Source organism: Homo sapiens, chromosome 1 (assembly GCF_000001405.40).
Source record: "Homo sapiens chromosome 1, GRCh38.p14 Primary Assembly".
Taxonomy (NCBI): Eukaryota; Metazoa; Chordata; class Mammalia; order Primates; family Hominidae; genus Homo; species Homo sapiens.
In genome coordinates, this window is record NC_000001.11 from 193,417,771 (window position 1) to 193,445,390 (window position 27,620).

Below are 27,620 nucleotides of genomic sequence, written 5' to 3' on the forward strand. Positions count from 1 at the left end.
GATGGGGTTTTGCCATGTTGCCCAGGCTGGTCTTGAACTCCTGAACTCAAGCAATCCACCCGCCCTGGCCTCCTAAAACGTTGGGATTATAGGCATGAGCCACGACACCTGGCCCTAAATCTTTTTAACGTCCACTTTCTGATGTAGTTGCAGCCAGAAATACACATTAATTGAATGCTTGTGACAGGGATCACTTCAGATAATATTTTGTTTATGTAATTAGCTTCCCTTAATTAAGGGTCAAACCTGAGGGACTTCTTCAACCATTGCTATCCAAACTTTGCATTAAATGCTTTTAGTTTTACTCACGGTAATTCTATTCCAGGACAGATAAATCCCACCAGGACATTCTGACCTGGTTCTGTCCCCTGTACACACAAACAGATAAACTCAACTTCAGCTCCAAGGTCCTCGTTTTTGACTTGTTCATCTTTTCCAAGGCTGAATTGCAGAGACATTGCTTCTATCTCGTTTTCATTTTATTTTCCCTTCTTAACTTCCAACTTTTTCTTTTTCTGATGCTGACATGGAAGCATTAGCTTGAAAAAGCTGTTGATAACTCCCTATATGTCTGGGAAGAGAAGCAGGATCTGACTGGGACATGTAGCTTTTACATTTCTCCTCTCCTTTAGCACAGAAATTCTTGCAAAACTTTCTTGTCATTTAGAAATTTTAGTAGGTATAGGGGCTTAAAGGAAAGGAAATAGAGAAAAGCTGTTCTTCATTAACAGGAGAAGACCTCGGGCTGCTGAATAAAGGAGAGCAGGTTGGGAGACAGGCAAGTGAGAGACAGGAGTTTGAGAGCAGTGAATTAGCAGAAGACTTGGAACTGAAAGAAAGGGAAAGTGAAAGTGCTGGAAATAAAGTTATGTGTGGGGTAAGTGATGAACACATCATATACTCATACTTTTCTTTACCTTGGTTTCACTCCTATCAGACAAATGCCTAGGACTGTGTGAATCTTGTCCAAATTCATCAGAGAATTTTTTTATTCTATGGGGAGGAAAAATGTATGGTTTCATGAAATACTTCTTGCCTTCCTGTCTTTTCCCCTTTCAATTCATTCTGCACCACGTATGGTTAGCGAACTGATTTCCTAAAACAGTCTTTCATTATGTCACTTTAAAATGGAAGAATCTGTAATGGTTCCTTATTGCCTATTGTATAAAGTATAAACATCTCATTTTATATTTTAACCACATTCAGCATTATTTCCTACTGTTTTTCCACGCATACCTTTTGCTATCTCCCCTAACTCTACACTTTTTCTTGGCTTTGCATTTTTAAATTCATTTCTATGAAACACATATATCTTTGATACCAACAGTTAGATTAGCGCTACCTGACTACAGATGATACAAACAAATACGACTAAAGTAGCAATCTTTATGTAGTTATTTTGCCTGGAAAGCCTTTTTTTCTTATTATCATAATAACATAAATTTGTGTAGTGTTCACATTTTCCAGTCCTTTATCGTGCATGGTCCATATCAGTACTTCTCAAAGTTGGATATGAGCAAGAATCATTAGTAAAGCCTGAGAGAGATTCCTGTGCCCCACTCCCAGAGATTCTGAGTCAACACATGTGGGTTGAGACCCTAGATTTTCCATTTCTAACAAATTCCCAGGTGCTTTCCCACACTTTCTATTTTCCTATGATGCTGATGGTTCAGGGACCATACTTTGAGTAGCTCTAGTCTATCCAATAACCCTAAGGAGTAGGCTGTATCATCTTCAAGATAGAAATGGGGAGAATGACACTCGGAGGAGCACAATTGACTAATCAATGGTCCTGTGACTTGTGAATTATAGCACTAGAACTCATGTTCTCTGAGCTGTGATCAAGTGTCATTAGTATCTCATCCTACTGCCTGTGTACAGTCTAAGGCATCATACATATTTATGACAGCTTTGAATGCTTAGCTCAATTCTTACTTCAGTCTGGCAAAAAAAAAGTGAGGATTTTTGCTTGTAATGATTTATGATACTTAGTATATACATTAGTAGTTCTCGAAGTTCAGTCCGTGTATTCTATGGGTCTCTTAGATCCTTTCTGAGTGTTTTAGAGTTTAAAGCTATTTTCATAATAATGCTAACAACATTGTTTACCTTTTTCACTGAGCTGACATTTGCAGTCAGGGTGAAAAAACAAGGGTGGGTAAAACTACTGGCACCTTAGCGTGAATCAAGGCAGTGGCACCAAACTAAACTAGAAGTCATTGTATTTCTTCACCATACATTTACAGTTAAAAAAAATGCCAGGGACGCTGAAAAGTATCTTTAGGAAGCAGTAAAGATTATTAGTTTTATTAGATCTCAACCTTTGTGTGTATGTCATTTTAACTTTCTGTATAACAAAATGGGAGGTAGGAAGAAAGTCCTTTGGTTTCATAGTGTGACGTGTGATGGCTGTTTTGAAGAAAAGCGCTTATGTATGTCTGAATTGCAAGCTAAACTAGCTGCTTTTTTCATGGCATGTCATTTTCACTTGAAGGGACAACTGACAGGTAAACTAGGGTTATCCTAATTTATTTGGCAGACATTTTCATAAAAATAAATGAAGCGAGCAGGTCATTTTAAAAAAGGAACTGATATTTTTTTGTTGTTGTCAATAAAAATATTTGAGCTTCCACACAAAAATTAGAAATTTGGAAAACTAGTATTTATCACCATAAGGTAGTCAGTTTCCCAGTACCTAAAGACTTTTCCAGTGAGACAGGTGGTGGTATTAACGAATGTGATTTTTTGACAATGTGATGAAATGGATCAACATTTGGAAGGCCTAAATAGTTCAGTGAACAGATACCTTTCATGTGATCAATGCATGGTTAACAAAAAGGTCTGTTTAAAGTGCCAAATGGACTAATGATTTTTAATGTAATAGAATACAAAAAGTTCATGGATGTGGTTTTCAATGTCACATTATGGTGTATTATCAAAGAAGAATAAACACAATTACCTGAAAAGGCTATTAAAATACCCTTTCCTTTTCTAACAACATATCTGTGTGAGGCCATGTTTCTTTTTTTCATAGATTTTAACCAATCAACATATTACAACAAACTGAATATAGAAGCAGATATAACGAATAAACTGTTTATGATTAAGCTGGAAGGTAAAGAGTATTGTAAAAGTGCTTGTCAATGCCGCTCTTCTCACTCAAGTATTTTGCTTTGGAAAATGTGGTTATTTTTTGAAAACAGATATTACTTATGACATCATACAATGGGTTTACATTGTTATTTTAAAGTGAATCAATAAACAAAATATTTTTAAAAGTCTCCATTTTATTTTCTAACATGGCAAATGCCAATAAATAAAACCTATAGAAATTTAGGGGTATAAAGGAACTCTTAGACTGAAAAATTTGAGAATTGTTGGCTGACTTTATGAATTTTGGTAATTGATTACATTCAGTATGTTAGTAGCATGGAAATAGAAATGGCCTAAAGTTAAAAATAACAACAACAACAACCACTTTGATTTTGGCTTTGTGAAAATTAAAAGCAATTCTCAGTTACAATGCTGTAACCAAGTGTCTGGAATAAAGAATCCTACTATGTAAGATACTTCTAAGCATTTTTAAGTTTGTGTTTTTAATATAATAATGCATATACATGAGTTTAAAAATAAAATTACATTTTAAGAGTCCTAGCCTAATCTTCACTACCTCTATTTTGTTTCTTCATGGGCAATTCTATTTAATTCTATTAGCTTTTTCTAATACTTACCCCCTTAATCTAGCACCCCTTCTGTGCTCTTCCAGAATCAGACAACCTCACTTGTCTCTAAAGAGTGTGGCTACTTGTTCTGTCACCTCCCCCGTGACCAGCCCTGCATAGGCTCTAACTAACCTCACTGAGCCATGACCGAACAACCTCTCACTTCCAGCCTGCCTCCTATGCCTCTTGCCTCATATCCAGGGCGTCCCTATTGACACTGAAGCAACACCTTGCTCACTTGATGACTGTGTTTGTTTATTTTTATTTTATTTTATTCATTTACTTTTTCAGATGGAATCTCACTCTGTCACACAGGCTGGAATGCTATAGCATGATCTGAGCTCACTGCAACCTCAGCCTCTCGGGTTCAAGTGATTCTCCTGCCTCAGCCTCCTGAGTAGCTGGGATTGCAGGCATGTGCCACCACGCCTGGCTAATTTTTGTATTTTTAGTAGAGACAGGGTTTCACCATGTTGGCCATGCTGGTCTTGAACTCCTGACCTTGTGATCCACCCACCTCGGCCTCCCAAAGTGCTGGATTACAGGCATGAACCACTGCACTCGGCCTGTGTTTGTTTAATTCACACATGTGAAGTGAACCTTTGACCAGTAATTTATAGAAGCTGATGGTTAAGTCTTCTGCCCTCATCCCTAGCACAGTGGACAGTCTCAAGTGATTTCATTTACAGAGACTCTCACAATTGTGACAATGAGCCATCAGTTGTGCTTGCTATCAAGAGTAGCCGAGTTATAATTTGGCAACCACCTTTGATTGGGACTCACCTTTTACTTGTCTCATTCCCCCTTTCCGTTATTTCTCCTAATAAATTAGCAGCTCATCAGCCTTTGCCACAGGCTCTGCTTTTTGGGGAACCCAGGTTAAGACTCTCCATATTTCTAAACAAATTAAAAATCGTATCTTTACATTTTTCAATTTAAGCATTATCAATTGACTTTTTTCATGAAAAATGAGGATTTAGTGTTCTTATATTTCCTTACCCCACTCCCAATACATTTGCCATTTGCTGTCCCCTCTATAAATTCTGTTATAATTTTTGGTTAAATGAATATTCAGTGTTTATGTCATTATAACTGCCTTAATATGGTTTGCAGATGAGTCACATAGTGTATTAGGATACATTTCTTTACCCTTTAATTACTTAATTTTTATGTACCAATCACTAATTAAACCCCATACTCACTGACAGAACATTAAAACATCTCTCAATGTAGTCATACATCCAAGAAATCTATGAGTTCAATGTGTGTGTGTGTGTGTGTGTGTGTGTGTGTGTGTATGTGTGCACATGCGTGCATGCAGGCTTATCCTTTCTGAAAACTTTCATCTTTTTTCCCCGGTCAGAACTTGCTTTCTAGGTTTGCTGCCCAGCTGTCATTCTGGAGTACGTCTTTATCATCATCAGTTCATTTTACTCTTGTTTTTGGATCCTCTGTTTTGGAGTTTTTTTCTTCCTTTTCTTGGATTTCTCTTTTGCTTTTGTAGAGCACATCTTCCAAGAACCTTCTGAGAAAGTATTTGGAAGGCAAATCTTTTGAGACTGCACAAGTCTGTAAAGTCCATGTATATGTATATGTTGATGCTTTGAGATATAAACTTCTATTGCGTTTGTGCCACGTTGTTGGGCTTTTTTTTTCTTCTTTGAACTATGGTGTAATTTACTTTGACACAGTATGGAGCTATTCATGTATTGTTTGGGCACTTTGTGGGCTCAATGTATCATTATGAAGACATGGTCTTTCTTTATGGGAAATTAAAAAATTGTTTCTTTGATAATGTATTCTACTTTACATTTTCATTCCTCCTCTCTAGAACAGCAGTTAGGCAGATGTGGATCTTTGAATTGATCCTCTAATTTTCTCATTTTTTCTTTCCTATCATCCACACTTCCTTGGGGAGGAGAGGGATGAAGATTAGGAATGTCCTCAAGTTTATTTTTAACAATTTGAATAAATAGGTATATCCAAATTTTACTTCTAAAAGTTATCTGAATATTCTTTTTCTAGCATGTGATTGTTTCATATTGGAATATCTTTACTTATCTTTCTGTAGGTGTTAATTATAATGCTCTGAAGTTTTCTTCTGCTTCCTGCATTTTCTTTATTTCTTCTAAATTTCTCTCAACTATCTGCTCGTTTGTTTAGGTTTCTATTTTAATATCAGAGGCTTCTACTTTGGGATTTTCACCATTTTTAATCAAGACTTTCACTTAATCTCCTGTTTGCATACAGTATCTCATTCTCATTCTCAGAGGCGCAGTTATCTTTATAAAGAAAAGCTTCTATTTTCTGTAGAGTTCCTGAAAGAGTAGTGGCTTGGCTTCTTAGCTTGTATAGGACTTTAAGTATCCTTATATAGACATTTAACCAGTCTTCCTGTTTTCAATGCCACTCTTCATCCCTACCTTCAAGGGTACCAGGTGAATCCAAATGCTTGAGTCTGAGGGGCTAGGGCAGAAATCACTGGTCTGTTGTTGGTGTCTCACCATAGAAGGTTCATATCTGAGCCTTCTCTGTTCTAAGTCTGTTAATAATTGCCCATAATTTTTTCACATTCTGAAATTTCATTGGGCCGGGTGCCGGTGGCTCACGCCTGTAATCCCAGCACTTTGGGAAGCTGAGGTGGGTGGATCACTGGAGGTCAGGAGTTTAAGACCAGCCTGGCCAACATGGAGAAACCCGTTCTCTACTAAAAATACAAAATTTAGTCAGGTGTGGTGGCACATGTCTGCAATCCCAGCAACTTGGGAGTTCTGAGGCGAGAGAATCACTTGAACCTGGGAGGCAGATGTTGCAGTGAGCAGAGATTACACCACTGCACTCCAGCCTAGGCTATAGAACGAGATTCTGTCTCAAAAAAAAAAAAAAAGAAGAAAAAAGAAAAAATTTTGCTGAAATCTTTTATTTAGTGTTGTCTCCTCTGTTCTCTTTGTCCCTGTGAGACTATATATATATATATATATTTTTTTTTTTTTTTTTTTGGTCATATTAATGGTATCCCTAAAGAGAGGGTGAGGACAGACATGGGTGTTCAATCTGCCATGTTTAACTTAAAATATATTTCTTTGAATTTTTAAAAGGAATTTGGAAAATATTTGTATTTTCATGATCCCAAGAACATAAGGAAATAAGAGACTGGACAGGTGGGGAAAAAGATATTATTAAAATTTCAACCCAGCCTTTATTTCCTATAATTTTACTGAAAAGCTTCCTGGGATATTTAGTCCAAATCTCTCCCTGGGCTAGTCATTCAATGAGAAACACAGGGCTTTCCTTTAATCTTCCTGGAAAGTAACATTCAACTTTGACATTAAATTTTTCACTTAATCTTAGAATATATTGCTCATATAAGTTGTAAAAGGACTGTGTTAATCAGATTGAGCACTAAGTAAATTGCTTAAGCTTCCCTGCCAGTTAGAAAAACCTCAGACTCTTGGGCCTAGTTTTTCTCCTAACTTACAATTCAAATTAAAGAAGAAAAATATTGACTCTAGTGGATTAAAACCCCAAACACAACTTGAAGCCTAAATGCTGTTTTATGTCGTTCACAGAAATGTCTTTTCTATTAATTCAAATTAAGTTGCTTGAGGTCAGAAGCTATGGTGCATACTTGTTTTTTGTACTCCATTCCCTCTTCAGGCGTATTTTCACTATAACACCAGTATCAGAATATTCTGAATTGCTTGAAAAAATCAGAAGCTTTTTTCCCTATACCACCAGTATCAGAATTTTCTGAATTGCTTGTCAAAAATGCACACCTACTGGCCAGGCATGGTGGCTCATGCCTGTAATCCCAGCACCTTGGGAGGCCAAGGCAGGCAGATCACTTGAACTCAGGAGTTTGAGACCAGCCTGGCCAACATGGTGAAACCCCATCTCTACTAAAAATACAAAAAATTAGCCAGGCATGGTGGTGTGTGTCTGTAGTCCCAGCTACTTGGGAGGCTGAGGTGGGAGGATGGCTTGAACTTGGGAGGCGGAGGTTGCAGTGAGCCAAGATTGTGCCACTGCACCGCAGCCTGGGCGACAGAGCAAGACTTTGTCTCAAACAAACAAACAAACAAACCAAACAAACAAACAAAAAAATGCACACCTACTAAATCAGAATCTCTTTGGATGGGCCTTGGAATCAGACTTTTAAAAGGCATCCAAGGTGATTTTAATTACTTTAAAATTACTTAAAAATTTACCTCACAGTATGCTAAGTAGTGTAGGTGCTTTTAAATCTTTGTTTAATTAAGTAAATGTTAATTCCATATGACATATCATTAGAATTTATTTACTTAAAAAGAGAATTACGACAATTAATAATGATTAGGCTTTGAAAGTAGAGTCTCCAATGAATCCTGTGTAAGGATTTATATAGCTTCAGAGAAAATCCTTCCAAAACTGGGGCAGGATCGTTTTTATAAGATGTCAACAACTGAATTGTTTTAATGTTATCTGTCCTTACGTTCAAGCTATTCAATATGCATGAGACAAATCTCCCATTTCCTTTGGACTATTTCTATTATTTTGCTGTGCTGTTGCTCTGGTTATGTATTGCTGTGTTACAAATCACGCCAAACACAGTAGTAAAGATAACAACCATCTTATTATGCTTATGGATTTTAAGAGCAAGAATTTGAATAAGGCACAGTGGGTGGCTTTTATCTGCTCCACAATATCTGGGGTCTCAGCTGGAAAATACCTAAAATGGCTGTGGCTGGAACCATGTGGGGACTCCTTCACTCACATGTGTGGGCTGGAAAGGCTTGAAGCCTGTGCTCAGCTGAGACTATTGAGCAGGACACCTGGTCACTCTCCATGTGGCTCTAGCTTCTGCAGCAGGGGCTTGGGTTCTGAGGAGTGTCTCTAAAGGGAGCCATCGAAGTGAGTGATTCAAGGGAACCACACAGAAGGAGCATGGCCTTTCATGACCCAGCCTCAGAAGTCACAAAAACATCATTTCTATCCGACTGTATAGTTTAGGCAGTTTCAAGTCTACCCATAATTAAGGGACAGGACATAGACCACCATTTCTTTGTATTTTTTTATTTTTTATTCTCCTGCCTCAGCCTCCCGAGTAGCTGGGATTACAGGCATGTACCACCACACCCAGCTGATTTTTGTATTTTCAGTAGAGACTGGGTTTCACCATGTTGGCCAGGAAGGTCTCGAACTCCTGACCTCGTGATCTGCCTGCCTTGATCCCAAAGTGCTGGGATTACAGGTGTGAGCCACCACGCCCAGCCTATTTTTTATTTTTTGAGATAGGGTGTCATCCTTTCACCCAGGCTGGAATGCAGTGGCATGATCAAGGTTCATTGCAGCTTTGATCTCCTAGGCTTAAGCTATCTCCCACCTCAGCCTCTTAAGTAGCTGGGGCTTCAAATGCATGCAACCATGCCTGCCTAATTTTTTTTTTTTTTTTTTTGTAGAGACAGGGTCTCCCTAATTTGCCTGGGCTGGTCTCAAACTCTTAGATTGCACAGAATTCTTAATGGGAGGATGTGTTAGTCTGTTTTCACACTGCTATAAAGAACTGCCTGAGACTGGGTAATTTATAAAGGAAGGAGGTTTAATAGAGTCACAGTTCCACATGGCTGGAGAGGCCTCAGGAAATTTACAAACATGGCGGAAGGGGAATCTTACATGGCTGCAGGCAAGAGAGAGTGTGTGAGAGCCCATGAAAAACTCTCACTTATAAAATTACCAGATCTCGTGAGAATTCACTCACTATGATGAGAACAGCATGGGGAAAATCATCCCCATAATCCAATCACTCCCCTCCCTCAACACGGAATTACAAGCATGGGGAAAATCATCCCCATAATCCAATCACTCCCCTCCCTCAACACGGAATTACAAGTCGAGATGAGATTTGGGTGGAGACACAGAGCCAAACCATATCAGAAGAATACCAGAGAATTTTGGGGCCATGTTTTAAAACTACCACAATGACTAAACTAAGAAGCACTTCTAATCATTTAATTTCTAAAATCCTTTCTTCGTTCTTTGTTTGATCATTATAAATATTTTTGTCTTTCCAGTGAAGGCAAATGTACCCAAACCATATCCCTGTAGGTTCTTATTTATATATATAATTTTCACAATCACTCTGAAGTTGATATTACTCTTTCCATTTATCAAATGAAGACACCGATGTGTTGAGAGGTAGAGTAGCTCGGTCAAAGTTACACAGTAGGGGAGCTCTGACTCCAGAGCACAGGCCTGTGGCTACTATCTAATCAGCAGCACTTTCATATTCATGTGAGATCCTCTTATAGAGAAGCAGGGAAGTTTACATATCTAAATGTCACTGACAAGAGCTGAAATACATTCCTAAGCTCACTCTATCAAATATCCTAAACCTTTTAAAAAGTTGCTTTTGGCTAAATGGTGGCTGGGTCATAAACCTTATCATCTATGAAAGCACTGAGGGGCTACAGATTTTTAAGGTTTTCATTTCCTGTGGAAAAAAAAGAAAATGTTCTTATTTGCACTCTGCTGCTGAATTTTGACCAGGGAGTAAAAGATGCCTTTCTCTCTGAAAGAGGGCAGGACACTTCCATTTGTTTTTCTCTGAGGGGTTGGCTATTTGATCTAATTGTTGTGATAAGCTGACTGAGGGTCAGGTGTGCACAAGGCAGCAACACCTTGGATGGAAGGAAAAAGGCTGGTAACAGGTGGAGGCCGTAAATAGAATGTGGCTTAGGAAGGGTCAGACCAGGGCACACGAACTTAACTATCTGAAATCAGTTAGAGCTGGACTCAGAATCTATACAACAGCTTGAGTCAAAATTCAGTTAATGAAGCTGAAGTCCAACCTGGAGATAAAAATATCTAAGCCTGGGAAGCTGCAAAAGTCACCTTTTATCAAATAAAAAGAGTGAGGCTATGCCAACGTGCACCTCTTCTTGTGAAGTTCACGGAAGAAGAGATGAGTGGGAGTCCACTCTTCTGCGATTCGCTTGCAGTTCATGAAAATAAGGAAAGCGGAGTCCCAATAAGGAGTTTTGGAGTGAGAAATAACAAGGCATAGCAGTGGTGAGAGAGGGCATCCCTGTCTTGTGCCAGTTTTCAAAGGGAATGCTTCCAGTTTTTGCCCATTCAGTATGATATTGGCTGTGGGTTTGTCATAAATATCTCTTATTATTTTGAGATACATTCCATCAATACCTAGTTTACTGAGAGTTTTTAGCATGAAGGGCTGTTGAATTTTGTTGAAGGCCTTTTCTGCATCTAATGAGATAATCATGTGGTTTTTGTCATTGGTTCTGTTTATATGATGGATTACATTTATTGATTTGCATATGTTGAACCAGCCTTGCATCCCAGGGATGAAGCCGACTTGATCATGGTGGATAAGCTTTTTGATGTGCTGTTGGATTCGGTTTGACAGTATTTTACTGAAGATTTTCGCATTGATGTTCATCAGGGATATTGGTCTAAAATTCTCTTTTTTGTTTGCTGTGTCTCTGCCAGGCTTTGGTATCAAGATGATGCTGGCCTCATAAAATGAGTTACGGAGGATTCCCCCTTTTTCTATTGATTGGAATAGTTTCAGAAGGAATGGTACCAGCTCCTCTTTGTGCCTCTGGTAGAATTCAGCTGTGAATCTGTCTGGTCCTGGACTTTCTTTGGTTGGTAGGCTATTAATTATTGCTTACATTTCAGAGCCTGTTATTGGTCTATTCAGAGATTCAACTTCTTCCTGGTTTAGTCTTGGGAGGGTGTATGTGTCCAGGAATTTATCCATTTCTTCTAGATTTTCTAGTTTATTTGCATAGGGGTGTTTATAGTATTCTCTGATGGTAGTTTGTATTTCTGTGGGGTCGGTGGTGATATCGCCTTCATCACTTTTTATTGCGTCTATTTTTAGATTCTTCTCTCTTTTCTTCTTTACTAGTCTTGCTAGTGGTCTATCAATTTTGTTGATCTGTTCAAAAAACCAGCTCCTGGATTCATTGATTTTTTTTGAAGGGTTTTTTTTGTGTCTCTATCTCCTTCATTTCTGCTCTGATGTTAGTTATTTCTTGTTTTCTGCTAGCTTTTGAATTTGTTTGCTCTTGCTTCTCTAGTTCTTTTAATTGTGACGTTAGGGTGTCAATTTTAGATCTTACCTGCTTTCTCTTGTGGGCATTTAGTGCTATAAATTTCCCTCTACACACTGTTTTAAATGTGTCCCAGAGATTCTGGTACGTTGTGTGTTTGTTCTCATTGGTTTCAAAGAACATCTTTATTTCTGCCTTCATTTTGTTATGTACCCAGTAGTCATTCAGGAGCAGGTTGTTCAGTTTCCATGTAGTTGTGCAGTTTTGAGTGAGTTTCTTAATCCTGAGTTCTAATTTGATTGCACTGTGGTCTGAGAGACACTTTGTTGTGATTTCTGTTCTTTTACATTTGCTGAGGAATGCTTTTCTTCCAACTATGTGGTCAATTTTGGAATAAGTGCGATGTGGTGCTGAGAAGAATGTTCATTGTGTTGATTTGGGGTGGAGAGTTCTGTAGATATCTATTAGGTCCACTTACTGCAGAGCTGAGTTCAAGTCCTGGATATCCTTGTTAACCTTCTGTCTCGTTGATCTGTCTAATATTGACAGTGGGGTATTAAAGTATCCCATTACTATTGTGTGGGAGATAGAACAAGGCAAAACTCAGTCGATTTTTTTTTTTTGGCATTTCTTCTTAGATTTCTATCTCCTAACATAGGATCACTTATTTGTGAAATTATTTGTATACCTTTTTTATGGAGTGATGATGTGATACAAATTCTATCCTTAAGGATATAAGAACATCTTTTCTTTATATTAGGATTTTTCTGGACCCATGAGTTACATGCTTACTTCCCACACCCTCATATCTTGTTTAAATTTGTAGAATTAAATTCATAGGTAATTATTTCTGAAACTTCTTCCCTGTGTGAGCAATCTAAATAATTATTACAATGCCTTAAGTTGCAATCAGGAATGTTTACTTAGCACAGACTTTTTTCCCCACTACTGCACTCAAAGGATAACAGATATATGGCAAATCTAACCATATTCTTTGTCCTTTGTCCATGAAAAACACTTAATTGGTCACTGTGCACCAAACTTGACCTCAGGTTTTTCTTGACACGTATCTCAGGTAGACACTCACATTTAATTTGAGTTGATGCTTGAGGTGAAACCAAAGGCATTATTAAGTACTAATAGTGAATAGAGAAAGAAAATGATTTGGACTAACTGTGGGACAGGTCAGATTGACCTTAAAAATGAAATGTGTGATAACAAAATATCCAATAGCAAATAAAGGTCAATTTGGAACTGGGTATAACAAATGCTGTTGATGCACCTCCCATATCCTGTGGGCTCCCTGATTTTTATTATACCCATGTACAGTCCCAACCCACTGACAGATTCCCACCTTAAGCAACTGCATATTTCCCTTTCCCTGAGGGCTTTCTCATTGTTACTAGAGCTTGCTCAGCTGTAAAAGATAAACCAGAAAGTTTGAGGGAGCTAATCCCTGGGAGGCAATCCTTAATCTATAGGGGTGGCAGTGGTGGACACATGCCGTAGCCTCCCTGTCTTGTAGTGATAGGGTCCTGGGGTCCTGAAGTTTGGCTCTGGGGTTTCTCAGAGGATCTCCAGCTAGACTGAGCTCCTCTTGCTTTTTATTCATTTTTCTACCTTCCCTGTCTCACTTTCCTAACTTTCTTACCTGTCTTTCTGAGTTTACCTTCCAAATTGTCTATCTGCCTCTGAGTCCTTGTCTAAGCATCTGCTTTTAGAAGAGCCCAACTTAAGAATCAAGGTTAACAAACTAGTATAGGAATCATTAAAATTTTGATTATGTAATATGAATAAGTTCCAGAGGTCTGTTCTGCAACGTAGTACTGTTGACCAAAATATAAAGGTTGTTAAAGCAGAAATAATTTGATAAAAGTTTATTGGAAGCCAAATGTGAGGATTGGCCTGGGAAGACACACCCACAAAGTTAGGTGTGTTTCAGTCTGTTACACATTGGAAGGCTTTTATAAGAAAGTTTAGGAGAAGTGAGGGGGGCTCCTCATATCAGAGTTGTCCTTTTTCTTTGGAGGGTAGAATACATATGCAACATATAGGCTAAAATGTGTACATGCAAGACAATCATTAAAACTTCGTGATTCAGAAACAAATCAACAAAACTTCATGGTTCAGACATAAATGACTGTCCTTTTCAGTGTCAGTAGGTTACATATTAATCAGTACATCAACAATTTGAGGGACTCACAATAAGATTATTTACTTAGTGACAGGATGTAAGCCATGAATCATAAGACCTCCCCCAGCTGGTTAATTTGGAAGCCTGTCAAATGTGACCTATAGGTTATCAGTGCCTATATTTAACAATACTGTATTGTACACTTGTATTAGTCTGTTCTCATGCTGTTATAAGGACATACTCAAGACAGGGTAATTTATGAAGAAAAGTGGTTTAATGGACTCACAGTTCCACAGGGCTAGGGAGGCCCCAGGAAACTTACAATAATGGTAGAAGGGAAGCAAACACGTCCTTCTTCATATGGCAGCAGCAAGCAGAAGTGCTGAGAAAAAGTGGGAAAAGCCCCTTATAAAAATATCAGATCTCATGAGAACTCACTCACTATCACAAGAACAGCAGGAGGGTAACCACCCCCATGATTCAATTACCTCCCACTGGGTCCCTTCCAGGACACGTAGGGATTATGGGAACTATAATTCAAGATGAGAATTGGGTGGCAACACAGCCAAACCATACCTTTCCACCCCTGGTCCCTCCCAAATCTCATGTCCTCAAATTTCAAAACCAATCATGCCTTCCCACCAGTCCCCGCAAATCTTATTTCAGCATTAAATCAGAAGTCCACAGTCCAAAGTCTCATCTGAGACAAGGCAAGTCCCTTCTGCCTATGAGCCTGTAAAATCAAAACGAGTTAGTTACTTCCTAGGTACGATGGGAGTATAGGCATTGAGTAAATACAGCCATTCCAAATGGGAGAAATTGGCCAAAAAAATTGGCCAAAAAAAAGAGATGGCAGGTCCCATGCAAGTCTGAAATCCAGTGGGGCACTCAAATCTTAAAGCTCCAAAATGATCTCTTTGACTCCATGTCTCGTCCAGGTTACACTGATGCAAGAAGTGGGTTCCCATAGTCTTGGGCTGCTCGACCCTGTGGCTTTGCAGGATACAGCCCCCTTGCCAGCTGCTTTTATGGGCTGGCATTGAGTGTCTGTGGCTTTTCCAGGTGCATGGTGCTAGCTGTGGGTTGATCTAACATTCTGGGGTCTAGAGGACCATGGCCCTCTTCTCATAGCTCCACTAGGCAGTGCCCCATGTGTGGGGGCTCCCACCCCACATTTTCCTTCTGCACTGCCCTAGAAGAGGTTCTCTGTGAGGGCTCTGCCCCTGCAGCACACCTTTGTCTGGACATCCAGGTGTTTCCATACATCCTCTGAAATCTAGGCAGAGGTTCCAAAACCTCAATTCTTGTTATGTCTGTGTACCTGCAGGCCCAACACCACATGTAAGCTGCCAAGGCTTGGGGCCTGCACTCTGAAGAAATGGCCTGAGCTGTATGTTGACTCCTTTTGGTCATAGCTGGAGCGTCTGGGATGCAGGGCACCAAGTCTAAGGCTGTACATAGCACAGGGGTCCTGGACCCAGCACAGGAAACCATTTTACCCTCCTAGGCCTCTGGGCCTGTGAAGGTCTCTGACATGCCCTGTTGTGAAGGTCTCTGACATGCCCTATTGTGAAGGTCTCTGACATGCCCTGGAGACATTTTCTCCATTGTCTTGGCAATTAGCATTTGGCTCCTTGTTACTTATGCAAATTTCTGCTGCTGGCTTGAATTTCTTCTCAGACAATGGGATTTTATTTTCTACCTCATCTTCAGGCTACAAATTTTTCAAACCTTTATGCTCTGTTTCCTCTTGAATGCTCTGCCACTTAGAAATTTCTTCTGCCAGATACCCTAAAACATCTCCCTCAAGTTCAAAGTTTCAGAGACCGCTAGGGCAGGGGCAAAATCCGCCAGTCTCTTTGCATAGCAAGAGTGACCTTAACTCTAGTTCCCAAGTTCCTCATTTCCATCTGAGAGCACCTTAGCCTGGGCTTTGTTGTCCATATCACTATCAGCATTTTTGTGAAAGCCATTCAACAAGTCTCTAGAAAGTTCCAAACATTCCCACATTTTCCTATTTTCTTCTGAGCTCTCCAAACTGTTCCAGTCTCTGCCTGTTACCCAGTTCCAAAGTCACTTTTACATTTTTGGTTAGCTTCTCAGCAGTACCCCACTTCTGGTACCAATTTACTGTATTAGTCTGTTCTCATGCTGCAAGGAAGGAAAGAGATTTAATTGAAACACAGTTCCATAGGACTGGGAAAGGCCCAGGAAACTTACAATTATGGTGGAGGAGGAAGCAAACACGTTCTTCTTTACATGGTGGCAGCAAGAAGAAGTGCTGAGCAAAAGAGGGAAAAGCCCCTTAGAAAACCATCAAATCTCATGAGAACTCACTCACTATCATAAGGGTAACCTCCCCAGTGATTAAATTACCTCCCATTGGGTCCCTCTCAGGACACCTGGGGATTATGGAAACTACAAGGTGAGATTTGGGTGGGGACACAGCCAAACCATATCAACAGTTAAACATTTTGTTAAGAGGGTAGATATCATGTTGTGTTTTTTACCATAAAATAAAACGTAACAAACAAACAAACACCTACAAGGTGGCATGAGGAAACTTTTGGGGGTGATGAACATGTTTATTACTTTGATTGTGGTGATGGTCTCACATACGTATGCATGTGTCCAAACCCATCAGATTGTATTCATTAAATATGTACAATTATTTGTATATCAATTATACCTCAATAAAGACGTTAAAAAGAAAACTCTTATCAATATCACTTTTAATATCTACATGGAAGCCATTAATGTTATTGTTCAGCTTTTAGAGTTGGAGGCCCCAGTGGTAGACAATTACTCATTTCCTCTCCCTGAAAGATTATACAGCCCTACTCTGTTGAGTTCAGGAGTGGCCATGTGACAACTCATGATTTTCTGTATTATTTTTTTCCTCTGGTTAAGGCAGGCAAAGTTCCAAGTAAAGCTACACTGTCAGCCTGAGCTCTGGAGTGAAGATGATAGACCTGGAGCAGAGTCTTAGTTGAACTATAATATACATGTATTAAGAATAAGAATATGTGTATTAAGTGAATAAGAAATAAACTTTTATTCCTTGTAAATTACTGAGACTTTGGAGTAATTTGTTGCCACAGCATAACTTAGGCTAAATTGACTAATATGGAATCTTTAAATATAATTTAGTACAGTGGTCTCATCTTGATTAATCATAAGATTAATTAGGGAGATTTACTAGGGAGATTTTTACATGTATAGATTTAAAATTCTGATACTAATTCAGTAGGTTTGGAGTGGAATGCAGGAATCTGCATTTTAACTGTTTGAAACCCAATCACTTTGCTTATTTTAAAGGTGAAAAGAGATTGACAATTTGAAAAGTTTTCCATTCTTTTAATTAATTTATTTAAAAAAAACACATTGTCATCTAGATGAGAGTTTGAATTAATTATAAAAATGTTTTCTCCTGAAGAACAGAAAGGTAAGCTCAATTGTACACCTGAATAGGGGAAGTTCTGAATTAGCATTATCAAAACTAATACAGTTTAATTGTATGTCATATATATAGGCCACCTGGGTTCAAATCTAATCAAAAATTATGAATGCATCATATTACTAAGGCCATTAGTAGGCCAGAAAGACAAAGAGTAGTAAGGCTTTAATAACAGAAGGTAAATTTGTTGCACACATGCACTCAGAAAAATAGTGCCCTTGCTATTAAGAGAGTATGTGTCTAGAAGGAGAACTCACTGTGGAGACCAGAGATCAAATTAAAGGTGGTTCAAGGTCAGCTGATGGAATTTTCTAGCATCACACTTGACAGCTCTATGCCATTCATTCGATTAGGTCACTGTATATGTTTACATTTTAGAAATTACTTATTCAATTTAATTTTGACTTTTTACTTTGTTGTCTCCAGCCTGAAGAAGACATTTTAATAGATGCAGCTGATGTCCTAAGTTCCCCCAAGGAGGAGAGAGTAGAGGCAAAAGATTGGCCCACATGTAAGTTAATATAAGGCAGAATTTGATAATTATAATAAGAAAGGAACTCCTCCTGATATGGATTGGATCTGTGTCCCCATCCAAATTTCATGTTGTATTATAATCCCCAATATTGGAGGTGGGGCCTGGTTGGAGGTGATTTGTTCATGGGGGTGAATTTCTCATGAATGGTTTAGTACCATCCCCTTGGTGCTGTCCTCATGATAGTGAGTGAGATCTGGTCATTTAAAAGTGTGTGTTACCTCTCCTCTCCCTCTCTTGCTTCTGCTCTGGCCATGTGATGTGTCTGCTCCCCATTTGTCTTTCACCATGATTGTAAATTTCCTGAGGTTTCCCCAGAAGCTGAACTGATGCCAGCGTCATGCTTCCTGTACAGCCTGCAGAACCACAAGCCAATTAAACCTCATTTCTTTATAAATTGCCCAGTCTCAGGTATTTCTGTTTAGCAATGCAAGAATGGCCTAACACCCCCCAAACTGACTTAGATTCTTTGCTGATCTATTTCTATAAGACAACTTCTGTTTGCAGGGGCATTTGCATATTGTTCAACTTAGGTTCCATAGTCAAGGATACTGCTACATATGTTCCACAAGAATCATAGCTGCATGAACTGCTGCAAAGGATGAGTTACATTTCCAGCTTTGGCTTCCTCACCACCATTTAACCCATTGCAATCTGGCAATTGATGGTGCTGTGTTTCTCAAACTGACTCCTCCAAAGATCACCAAGAACTTACCCCATTCATTATCTCTCTAGATTTTGATATTATTGATAAATCTTTTTTATTAAATACCCTGAGGCAGTCTTCTTTGGGTTAAATCCGGCCGGTGTTCTATAACCTTCTTGTGCTTGAATGTTGATGTGTTGCTCCAGGTTTGGGAAATTTTCTAATATTATCCCTTTGATTAAACTTTCTACGTCTTTCTCTCTACCTTCTCTTTAAGGCCAATAACTCTTAGATTTGTCCTTTTGGGGCTATCTTCTAGATCTTGTAGTTGTGCTTTGTTGTTTCTTATTCTTTTTTCTTTTGTTTCCTCTCACAGTGTATTTTCAAATAGCCTGTCTTCAAGCTCACTAATTTTCCTTTACCAAGTGAACTACTTGACTTGATCAATTCTGTTGTTAAGAGACTGATGCGTTCTTCAGCATGTAAACTACATTTTTCAGCTCTAGAATTTTTGTTTGATTCTTTTTAATTATTTAAATCTGTTAAATTTTTTTATTTTTTTTATTTTTATTTTTATTTTTTTTATTTTTTATTGATCATTCTTGGGTGTTTCTCGCAGAAGGGGATTTGGCAGGGTCATAGGACAATAGTGGAGGGAAGGTCAGCAGATAAACAAGTGAACAAAGGTCTCTGGTTTTCCTAGGCAGAGGACCCTGCGGCCTTCCGCAGTGTTTGTGTCTCTGGGTACTTGAGATTAGGGAGTGGTGATGACTCTTAATGAGCATGCTGCCTTCAAGCATCTGTTTAACAAAGCAGATCTTGCTCCGCCCTTAATCCATTTAACTCTGAGTGGACACAGCACATGTTTCACATGTGCTGAGCACAGGGTTGGGGGCAAGGTCATAGATCAACAGCATCCCAAGGCAGAAGAATCTTTCTTAGTACAGAACAAAAATGGAGTCTCCTATGTCTACTTCTTTCTACACAGACACAGCAACAATCTGATTTCTCTATCTTTTCCCCACATTTCCCCCTTTTCTATTCCACAAAACTGCCATCGTCATCATGGCCCGTTCTCAATGAGCTGTTGGGTACACCTCCCAGACGGGGTGGCGGCCGGGCAGAGGGGCTCCTCACTTCCCAGCAGGGGTGGCCGGGCAGAGGCACCCCCTACCTCCTGGACGGGGCAGTGGCCGGGCGGAGGCGTCCCTCTCCTCCCTCCCGGACGGGGTGGCTGGCTGGGTGGGGGCTGCCCCCCACCTCCCTCCCGGACGGGGCGGCTGGCCGGGCGGGGGGCTGCCCCCCACCTCCCTCCTGGATGGGGCAGCTGGTCGGGCGGGGGCTGCCCCCCACCTCCCTCCTGGATGGGGTGTTAAATTTATCTGATAGAATTCTTAATTACTTTTCTGTGTTATCTTGAATTTCTTTGAGTTCCCTCAACACAGCAATTTTGAATTCTGTGTCTGAAAGGTCATATATTTCTGTTTCTCCAGGATTGGTCCCTGGTGCCTTATTTAGTTCATCTGGTAAGGTCATGTTTTCCTGGATGATGTTGATACTTGTAGATGTTTGCATCTGGGCATTGAAGAATTAGCTATTTACTTTAGTATTCACAGTCTGGGCTTGTTTATGCCTGTCCTTCTTGGGAAGTCCCTCCAGGTATTTGAAAGAAACTTGGGCCCCAAGCCCAATAACACTGTGGTTTTTGCAAACTTGTAGAGGTACTACCTTGTGGTCTTGTATAACAGTCAGAAGAATTCTCTAGATTACCAGAGAGAGACTCTGGTTCTTTTCCCTTACTTTTTCTCAAACAAATGGGGTCTCTTTCTGTGTGCTGAGACACATGAATTGGGGGGTGTGGTGATGCAAACACCCTGTGGCGACCACCAGTGAACTATGCTGGGTCAGACCTGAAGCCAGCATGGCACTGGGTCTTGCCTAAGACCCTTCCTTTCAGGGCAGGGAGTTCCCCCAGGCCCCATGCATGTCCAGAGATGTTGTCTGGGAGCCTGGGATTGGAGTCAAAAACCTTAGCAATTTACCTGATGTTTTATTTTCCTGCAGCTAAATTGGCACTCAAACTGTGATACAAAGTCCTTCCTATTCTTTCCTCCCCTTTCCACAGGCAGAGGAGCCTCTCTTTGTGGCAATTAGCACTACTGGTTCACAAGGGTTCTACCAGGCCACCGTCTATGTTCACTTAAAGCCCAAGGGCTCTTCCATCAGCTTGTGGTGAATGCTGCCAGGCCTGGGACTTACCTTTCAGGACAGTGGGTTCCCCTCTGACCCACGGCAAGTGTAGAAATGCTGTCCAAGAGCCTAGGCCTGGATGCCAGGACCCCACAAATCTATTTTTTTCAAACATCTTTTTCTTGTAGATTTTAAAATACTACTGTATTCATTACATGTTTATTATATACTCATCCTGTGCTTTAGAGATGTAACAAGAGTTTTCATTTACTAAGCACTTGTTACATGCCAGGGGCTTTGTATATATTATTTTATTTAACACAACAATCTATTGAAGTAGCTAATATTATCTCCATTTCTCATATGAGGAAATTGAGGTTTAGAGAGTTTCAGTCCTTGTAAACTGTGGTCATACAATAACTATATATTAGAGGTGAGACTCAACCCAATGACCAACTGTAAACTTGTGTTCTTTGACGCTTTAGCAGGGTCTTAGAAAACCTTTGTGATAGTTAATTTTATGTGTCAACTTGACTTGGCAAAGGGGTGCCAAGACAGCTGGTTAGACATTATCTCTTGGAGTGTCTGTGAGGGGATTTCTGGAAGAGATTAGCATTTGAATTTGTAGATTGACTAATTTGTCTCATCTGTTAAAGGCCCAAACAGAAGAAAAAGGCAGAAAAGCACATTTACTTTCTCTTTTCTTGAGCTGGGACATCCATCTTCTCCTATCTTTGAAGTGCTCCTCGTTCTTAGGACTTCAGATTTGGACTGGGCTTTTGTGGTTCTCCAGCAAACAGACAGCAGGTAGTGTGAGCCAGTTCCAATAATAAGTTTCCTCTTATATGTCTATATATCCTATTGGATCTATTTCTCTGGAGAACCCTGTCTAATACAGGCTTTGGTACCATGAGTAGTTCTAGGAAAACAGAATTTTAAAGACAAGTTTTCTGAACTGGTCCTGAGGCTTCTGGAATTGTCTCTTTAATATGATTAGATGTCTCCAGTAGTAAAGAGAGCCCTGATAGTCCATGTCATGAACAACAGGCATTAAACATGCCTAACCAACCATTTAAGAGAAGCAAGATGCTAAGTGACTCTCCATATGATACTTTCAAAACATTTTTAGAAAATGAAGGAATAAAATAATATTGGTTGGTTGCTCCAATGTCACTGGACAAAGTGGTGAAAAAAAAAGATAAACTCAGGAATTCGAATTTCCAGCTCAAGTGCCACATAAATAACCTAAGAGCTTCTAAGTATGCCCTGAATGACAGCCTTGCCTCCTATAGCCACAGGCTTGAAATTGCTGAAAATTAAATGCAGAAAATCATCTGTAGTTTACTAAATTACAACATAGGTTGAACTCCCAGACTTACTGAGTGTCTGCTGTTAAAGTGAAGGCATTGATTGGGAAAGAATAGGATCCTGTAAATTGGGATGGTGATTTGTGGGAAGACCCTGATGAATCTGGGGACATTGAGCCTCTAGATTCTGTTGAATCCTGTTTGCCAGTGGAAGGGGTCTCCTCACCCCTAGTGGAAGAGACATTCTCACCCCAAGTGGTCTCTCCATCCCTAGTGGTAGTGGCCTCCCCACTCATAGCATTCTGGTCTTTCTACCTTAGTCTAATGGAATTAACCCTATGTTGCTGGAGGAAATGGTAATGGCCTTCCCTGAGGCAGTTGCCATGCAAGACAATGCTGATTCTCCTCAGGACCTGCTCCCATCACCCTTCTTTGTTTCTAAATTTACAACTAGACTTAAGGCCAAGCAAGTACCTAAAGGTGAGATCAAAGTGTCACCCGTGAGGAAGTGCACTATACTTTACAATAACTACTTGATTTTTCTATTTATGCAAGCAGAAATCTGGTGGATCACATGTGGGAATGGATAGTAAAGATGTGAGAGAATGATGGAAGGAACATTAAGTCGAATCGGGCCAAATTTATTTGTATGAGCTTGCTAAATAAAGATTTTGCATTTAATGTTGCAGCTTGGGAGTTAGAAAGGGCTCTAACAGTTTGGTTACTTGACTGAAACATGGATCTAAAGATAGCTCACTGCATGTGACTTGGAAATGCCTGAACTACCTTGGATTAACATAGAGGGAAGAATTCAAAGGCTTAGGAGAATTGGAATGGTAGAGTGGATTTTCCATTTAAGACCTACTCATCCACACTGGCTGGGTATTCTCAAAATACCTTTTATTTTGAGAAATAATTTGTGAGGTAAGGCCCAATATTTTTGAAGAGTTCCATGGCCTTTCTTCTATGTTGACCATAAATTACAGTGAGAATTGCAGACACTCAGTTGAACAACCTAAATACAGTAGGAGTAATTGGATCCTGGGATAGTTTGGATGTATCTCTCAAATTTCACATGTTGGAAACTTAATCCCCAAATTCATATGTTGATTGAAGGTAAGGCCTTTAGGAGGTAATTAGGATTGTATAATGTCACTGGGGAGGGGCCCCCATGATAGAACTGGTGGCTTTGTAGGAAGAGAAAGGGAACCTTGAGCTAACATGCATGCTCTTGCCCTCTAATTATGTAATGCCTTCTGCCATGTTATGATGCAGCAAGAAGGCCCTCACCAGATGCCAGCACTATGCTCTTGGACTTCCCAGCCTCAAGAACTGTAAACCAAATAAGTCTCTCTCTCTCTCTCTCTCTCTCTCTATATATATATATATATATATATATATAAATTATTCCATCTGTGATATTCTGTTATAGAACAGAAAATGGACTAGGACAGAAAACTGGTATTGGGAATGGGATTGTTGCTAATAACGGATACCTAAAAATGTGGAAGCGGCTTTTGAACTGGGTAATGGGCAGGGGCTAGAAGAATTTGGAGGATCAGGCTAGAAAAAGCCTGTATTGCTCTGAACAGAGCATTAAGGGTGATTTTTATGAGGGCTCAGGAGAAGACATGAAGACTAGGGAATATTTGTAACTTCTTATAGATTATTTTACTGGTCATGCTCAGAATGCTGATACAAATATGGATAGTAATGGCCATTCTGATGAAGTCTCAGATGGAACTGAGGAACAAGGTATTGGAAACTGGAGTAAAGGTCATTCTTGTTATAAACTGGCAATGGACATAGCTGGGTTGTGTTCATAATACAGAACTTAAGAGCAATGAATTAAGATATCTGGCAGAAGAAATGTCTAAGCAGCAAAGCATTCAGGTTTCTGCTTGGCTACTTTAAATTGCTTATATTAGGCTATGAAAATTAAAAAATGACTTAAATCTGGACTTTGTAATTAAGAGGGAAGCAAAGCAGAAAGACTTGGAAAACTCTCAGCCTGGTCATTTAAAGAGTAAAGTGTATTCAGAAAAGGAAACCAAGAGTGTAGCCCAGGGACTCTTTGCTAAAGAGATAGAAAGGATCATCCGGACAATGAGAGAAAGAGTCCAAAGGTATTTCAGAGATCTTTGAGGGTGCCCCTCCCATCACAGGCTCAGGGCTCTAGGAGGGCAGAATGGTTTTGGGAGACAGGTCTGAGAACCCTCTGTGGCCTCACTGCCCGTGGCTGCCTTGTGTCTCTGCTCTCTGCATCCCAGTGCAGCAATCCTTGGCCATTCCAGTTGTGGTTCAAGTGGTCCTGGATATAACTTGACCCCTCTGGGTGTGGCTTGACTTGCCACTCTGAAGGGTACAAGCCATATACTTTGGCTGTGTCTACATGGTATTAATTCTGTAGACCAACAAAATGTAAGAGCTGTGGGGGTATAATTGCATCCACCTAGATTTTAAAGAATGTTGCAGACTGCTTGGGAGTTCAGGAAGAGACTTGTCCCAGGGTTGGAGTAATCAGAGAGATCCCTCACTAAGGCAATGCCCAGCAGAACTTTGGGGTTGGAGCTGCCATAGAAAGTTCCCACTAAATCAATGCTTAGTGGAGCTCTGGGAGCAGGACTGCTGCAGGGATCCCAGAATGTACAGTCACTGGCAACATGCAATGCCAGCCTGTGAAAGCTGCAGGCACCACTGTGCAGCTACAACTTGAGAAAGCTGAAATGTGGCCTGAGTCCAACAAAGCCATAGTAAAGAGTGAGGCAGTTTTGGGGCCCAAAGCCTGCAGTGTGTCTAGGAAGCAGCACATACAGTGAAAGATTAACTTAATGTCTGCCCTATTGGGTTTTGGACTTGTTTGGGGCCTGTTACTTCTTTTTTTCTGGACTATTTCTCCCTTTTGGTAAGGGAATATGTATCTTATACTCTTCCACCGTTGTATCTTGGAAATGAGAAATTGTTTAATTTCACAGGCTTACAGCTGGAAGAAATTTGCCTCAAGTTGACTTGTGCCTTGAGTTTCACCCATATCTGATTCAGATAACTTTGGACTTTTTAAAGTTGGTGCTGGAACAAGAGTTTGGGGCAATTGGGATTGAATTATTGTGTTTTGCATGTGAGAAGAACATACATTTTGGAGGTGGAATGCTATGGTTTGAGTGTGTCGCCTAAATTTCATGTGTTGGAAACTTAATCCCCGAGTTCATATGTTGATTGGAAGTGATGCCTTTAGGAGGTAATTAAGATTAGATAAGATTATCAGATTGGGACCCCATGGCTTTATAAGAAGAGAAAGGGAAGCTTGAGCTGATAGGCACACTCTTGCCCTCTTGCCATATGAATGTCCTCTGCTATGTTATGGCAAGCAAGAATCTCCTCACCAGATGCCAGTGCCATGCTCTTGGATTTCCTAGTCTTCAGAATCATGAGCCAAATAAACATCTTTTCATTATAAGTTATCCAGTCTGTGGTATTCTGTTGCAACAGAAAACAGAGTAAGACAGGGAGTAAGAGCCAAGTGGCAACACTCAACTGCCAAAGGCATGGTGAAGATAGTTACTCTAAGGGACAGTAGGGTCAAAGCAGTAATCAGAATAGTCTGATTCTCGCAGACTGGTAAAGTTGGCCTGTTAATTATAGTGTTCCTAGAAGTGAAATAGATAGGAAGCTATTAAATTCTTACTCAATCTGTATAAGCAGACAAGTTCCAGGTAAAGTGAATCATAAAATTCTAATGAGAATCATAGAAACAGAATCATAGCCCCTCAATCAGTTCTCAGACTTGAGCCAGTTGACAGACCCAGAGCCCCTTGAATGAAGGGAAGACTGGGTCTCCTTGAGGAATGACCCTTGAACACAACTGAAAATGTGTACTGCTAATCTTTCTCTCAGCCTTCCTTCAAAGGACCTAAAGCTTATTACAATGATAATTGTGCATTGGAAAGAGGGCAATAATCAGGATTTGGGAGGAGGCTCTTGAACATTGACTCTGAACTAGCACTGATTCCATGAGGCCCAAAATGTCAAGGTGGCCCTCCAGTCAGAGTAGGGGCTTATGGAGGTCAGGTAATTGACAAAGTTTTAGCTCAAATTCATCTCGCTGTGAGTCAGGTGTATCCTCAAACCCATCCTGTGGTTGTATCCCCAGTTCCAAAATGCATAATTGGAATAGACATGCTGAACAGCTGAAAGAATCACCATACCTTTTCACACTTAACAATTATTAAGCCCATAATAAATAATAATAATATAATTAAATATTAAATAATATTAAAATAAATAATAAAAGCATTATACATTAACATAAATATTATTATATCATAGAAATAACGATTGCTAAATAAAAATTATAGTAATAAAAGTGGCACTCCTTTATTTTTTATAAGCCTTGTTAGTGTCTGTCTTGAAGATAGCTGAATTCTCATACCTGCTTCTGCATTCAATGTGTTGCTGTATGATATGTGGTTGATATGTCTGAAGAAAATCCAGCCTCATATAAATATGTGGTTGGACAAAGGAAGACTATTGTGATGGCATTTTCAAGTAATTGTGTATTTCTTTCTTTGATAGTACATAAACATTCAACAAGTGGAGGTTTTTTGAGGGTTAGTGATAATGTGGATCTGAAGCCATATCAGTGAACTTCTTGTGTTCTTTTATATCAGAATTCAGTGGCCTATTTTGTATAATACTTTGAATGAATATTTTACCTGGGCATGAAGCTAATCCAGAGCTCCACTTACAACACTGCCTTTTATAACATTCTGATGAGACTAAACATGAATTATAAAACATGAAACTCAGCATGAATTATAATACATGAAATGAAATAGGAATTTACTTGAAAAGAGCTAGAGGTTTCTAAAGCAAGTTGATGAGAACTGATAATAAAACTACAGACACTTTAGGGAAATTTCTGATTTTCATGCCTATTGAATCAGACTGTGGAATTGGAACTGTCTTGATAGTTCTATGAGGCTAATATATACTATTTCCTAGGTGCCAAGACATTCACTTTATTTGGCATTAAATATAAATAGCTATTCATCTATTGCCATTAACCAGCTAATTAACTTTATTACCATTGATAGTTTTTAAATTCTTCAGGTCAAGGCTATTGAGTTCTAATTTTTTTTTGGCAACATCTTTTTTTTTGATTATTATTATTTTTTATTATTATTACACTTTAAGTTTTAGGGTACATGTGCACAATGTGCAGGTTAGTTACATATGTATACATGTGCCAGCTCGTGTGCTGCACCCATTAACTCGTCATTTAGCATTAGGTATATCTCCTAATGCTATCCCTCCCCCCTCCCCCACCCCACAACAGTCCCCAGAGTGTGATGTTCCCCTTCCTGTGTCCATGCGTTCTCATTGTTCAATTCCCATCTATGAGTGAGAACATGTGGTGTTTGTTTTTTTGTCCTTGCAATAGTTTACTGAGAATGATGATTTCCAATTTCATCCATGTCCCTACAAAGGACATGAACTCATCATTTTTTATGGCTGCATAGTATTCCATGGTGTATATGTGCCACATTTTCTTAATCCAGTCTATCATTGTTGGACATTT

At 39.6% G+C, this 27,620-nt stretch overlaps 1 annotated feature.

Annotated features, from left to right (window-relative positions):
• Positions 20,101 to 20,160: an enhancer, noted in NCBI's record as "active region_2270". NCBI's record gives its function as "activates an Ori minimal core promoter by ATAC-STARR-seq in GM12878 lymphoblastoid cells {active_cell/tissue: GM12878}" and the evidence as "EXISTENCE:reporter gene assay evidence [ECO:0000049][PMID:35858748]".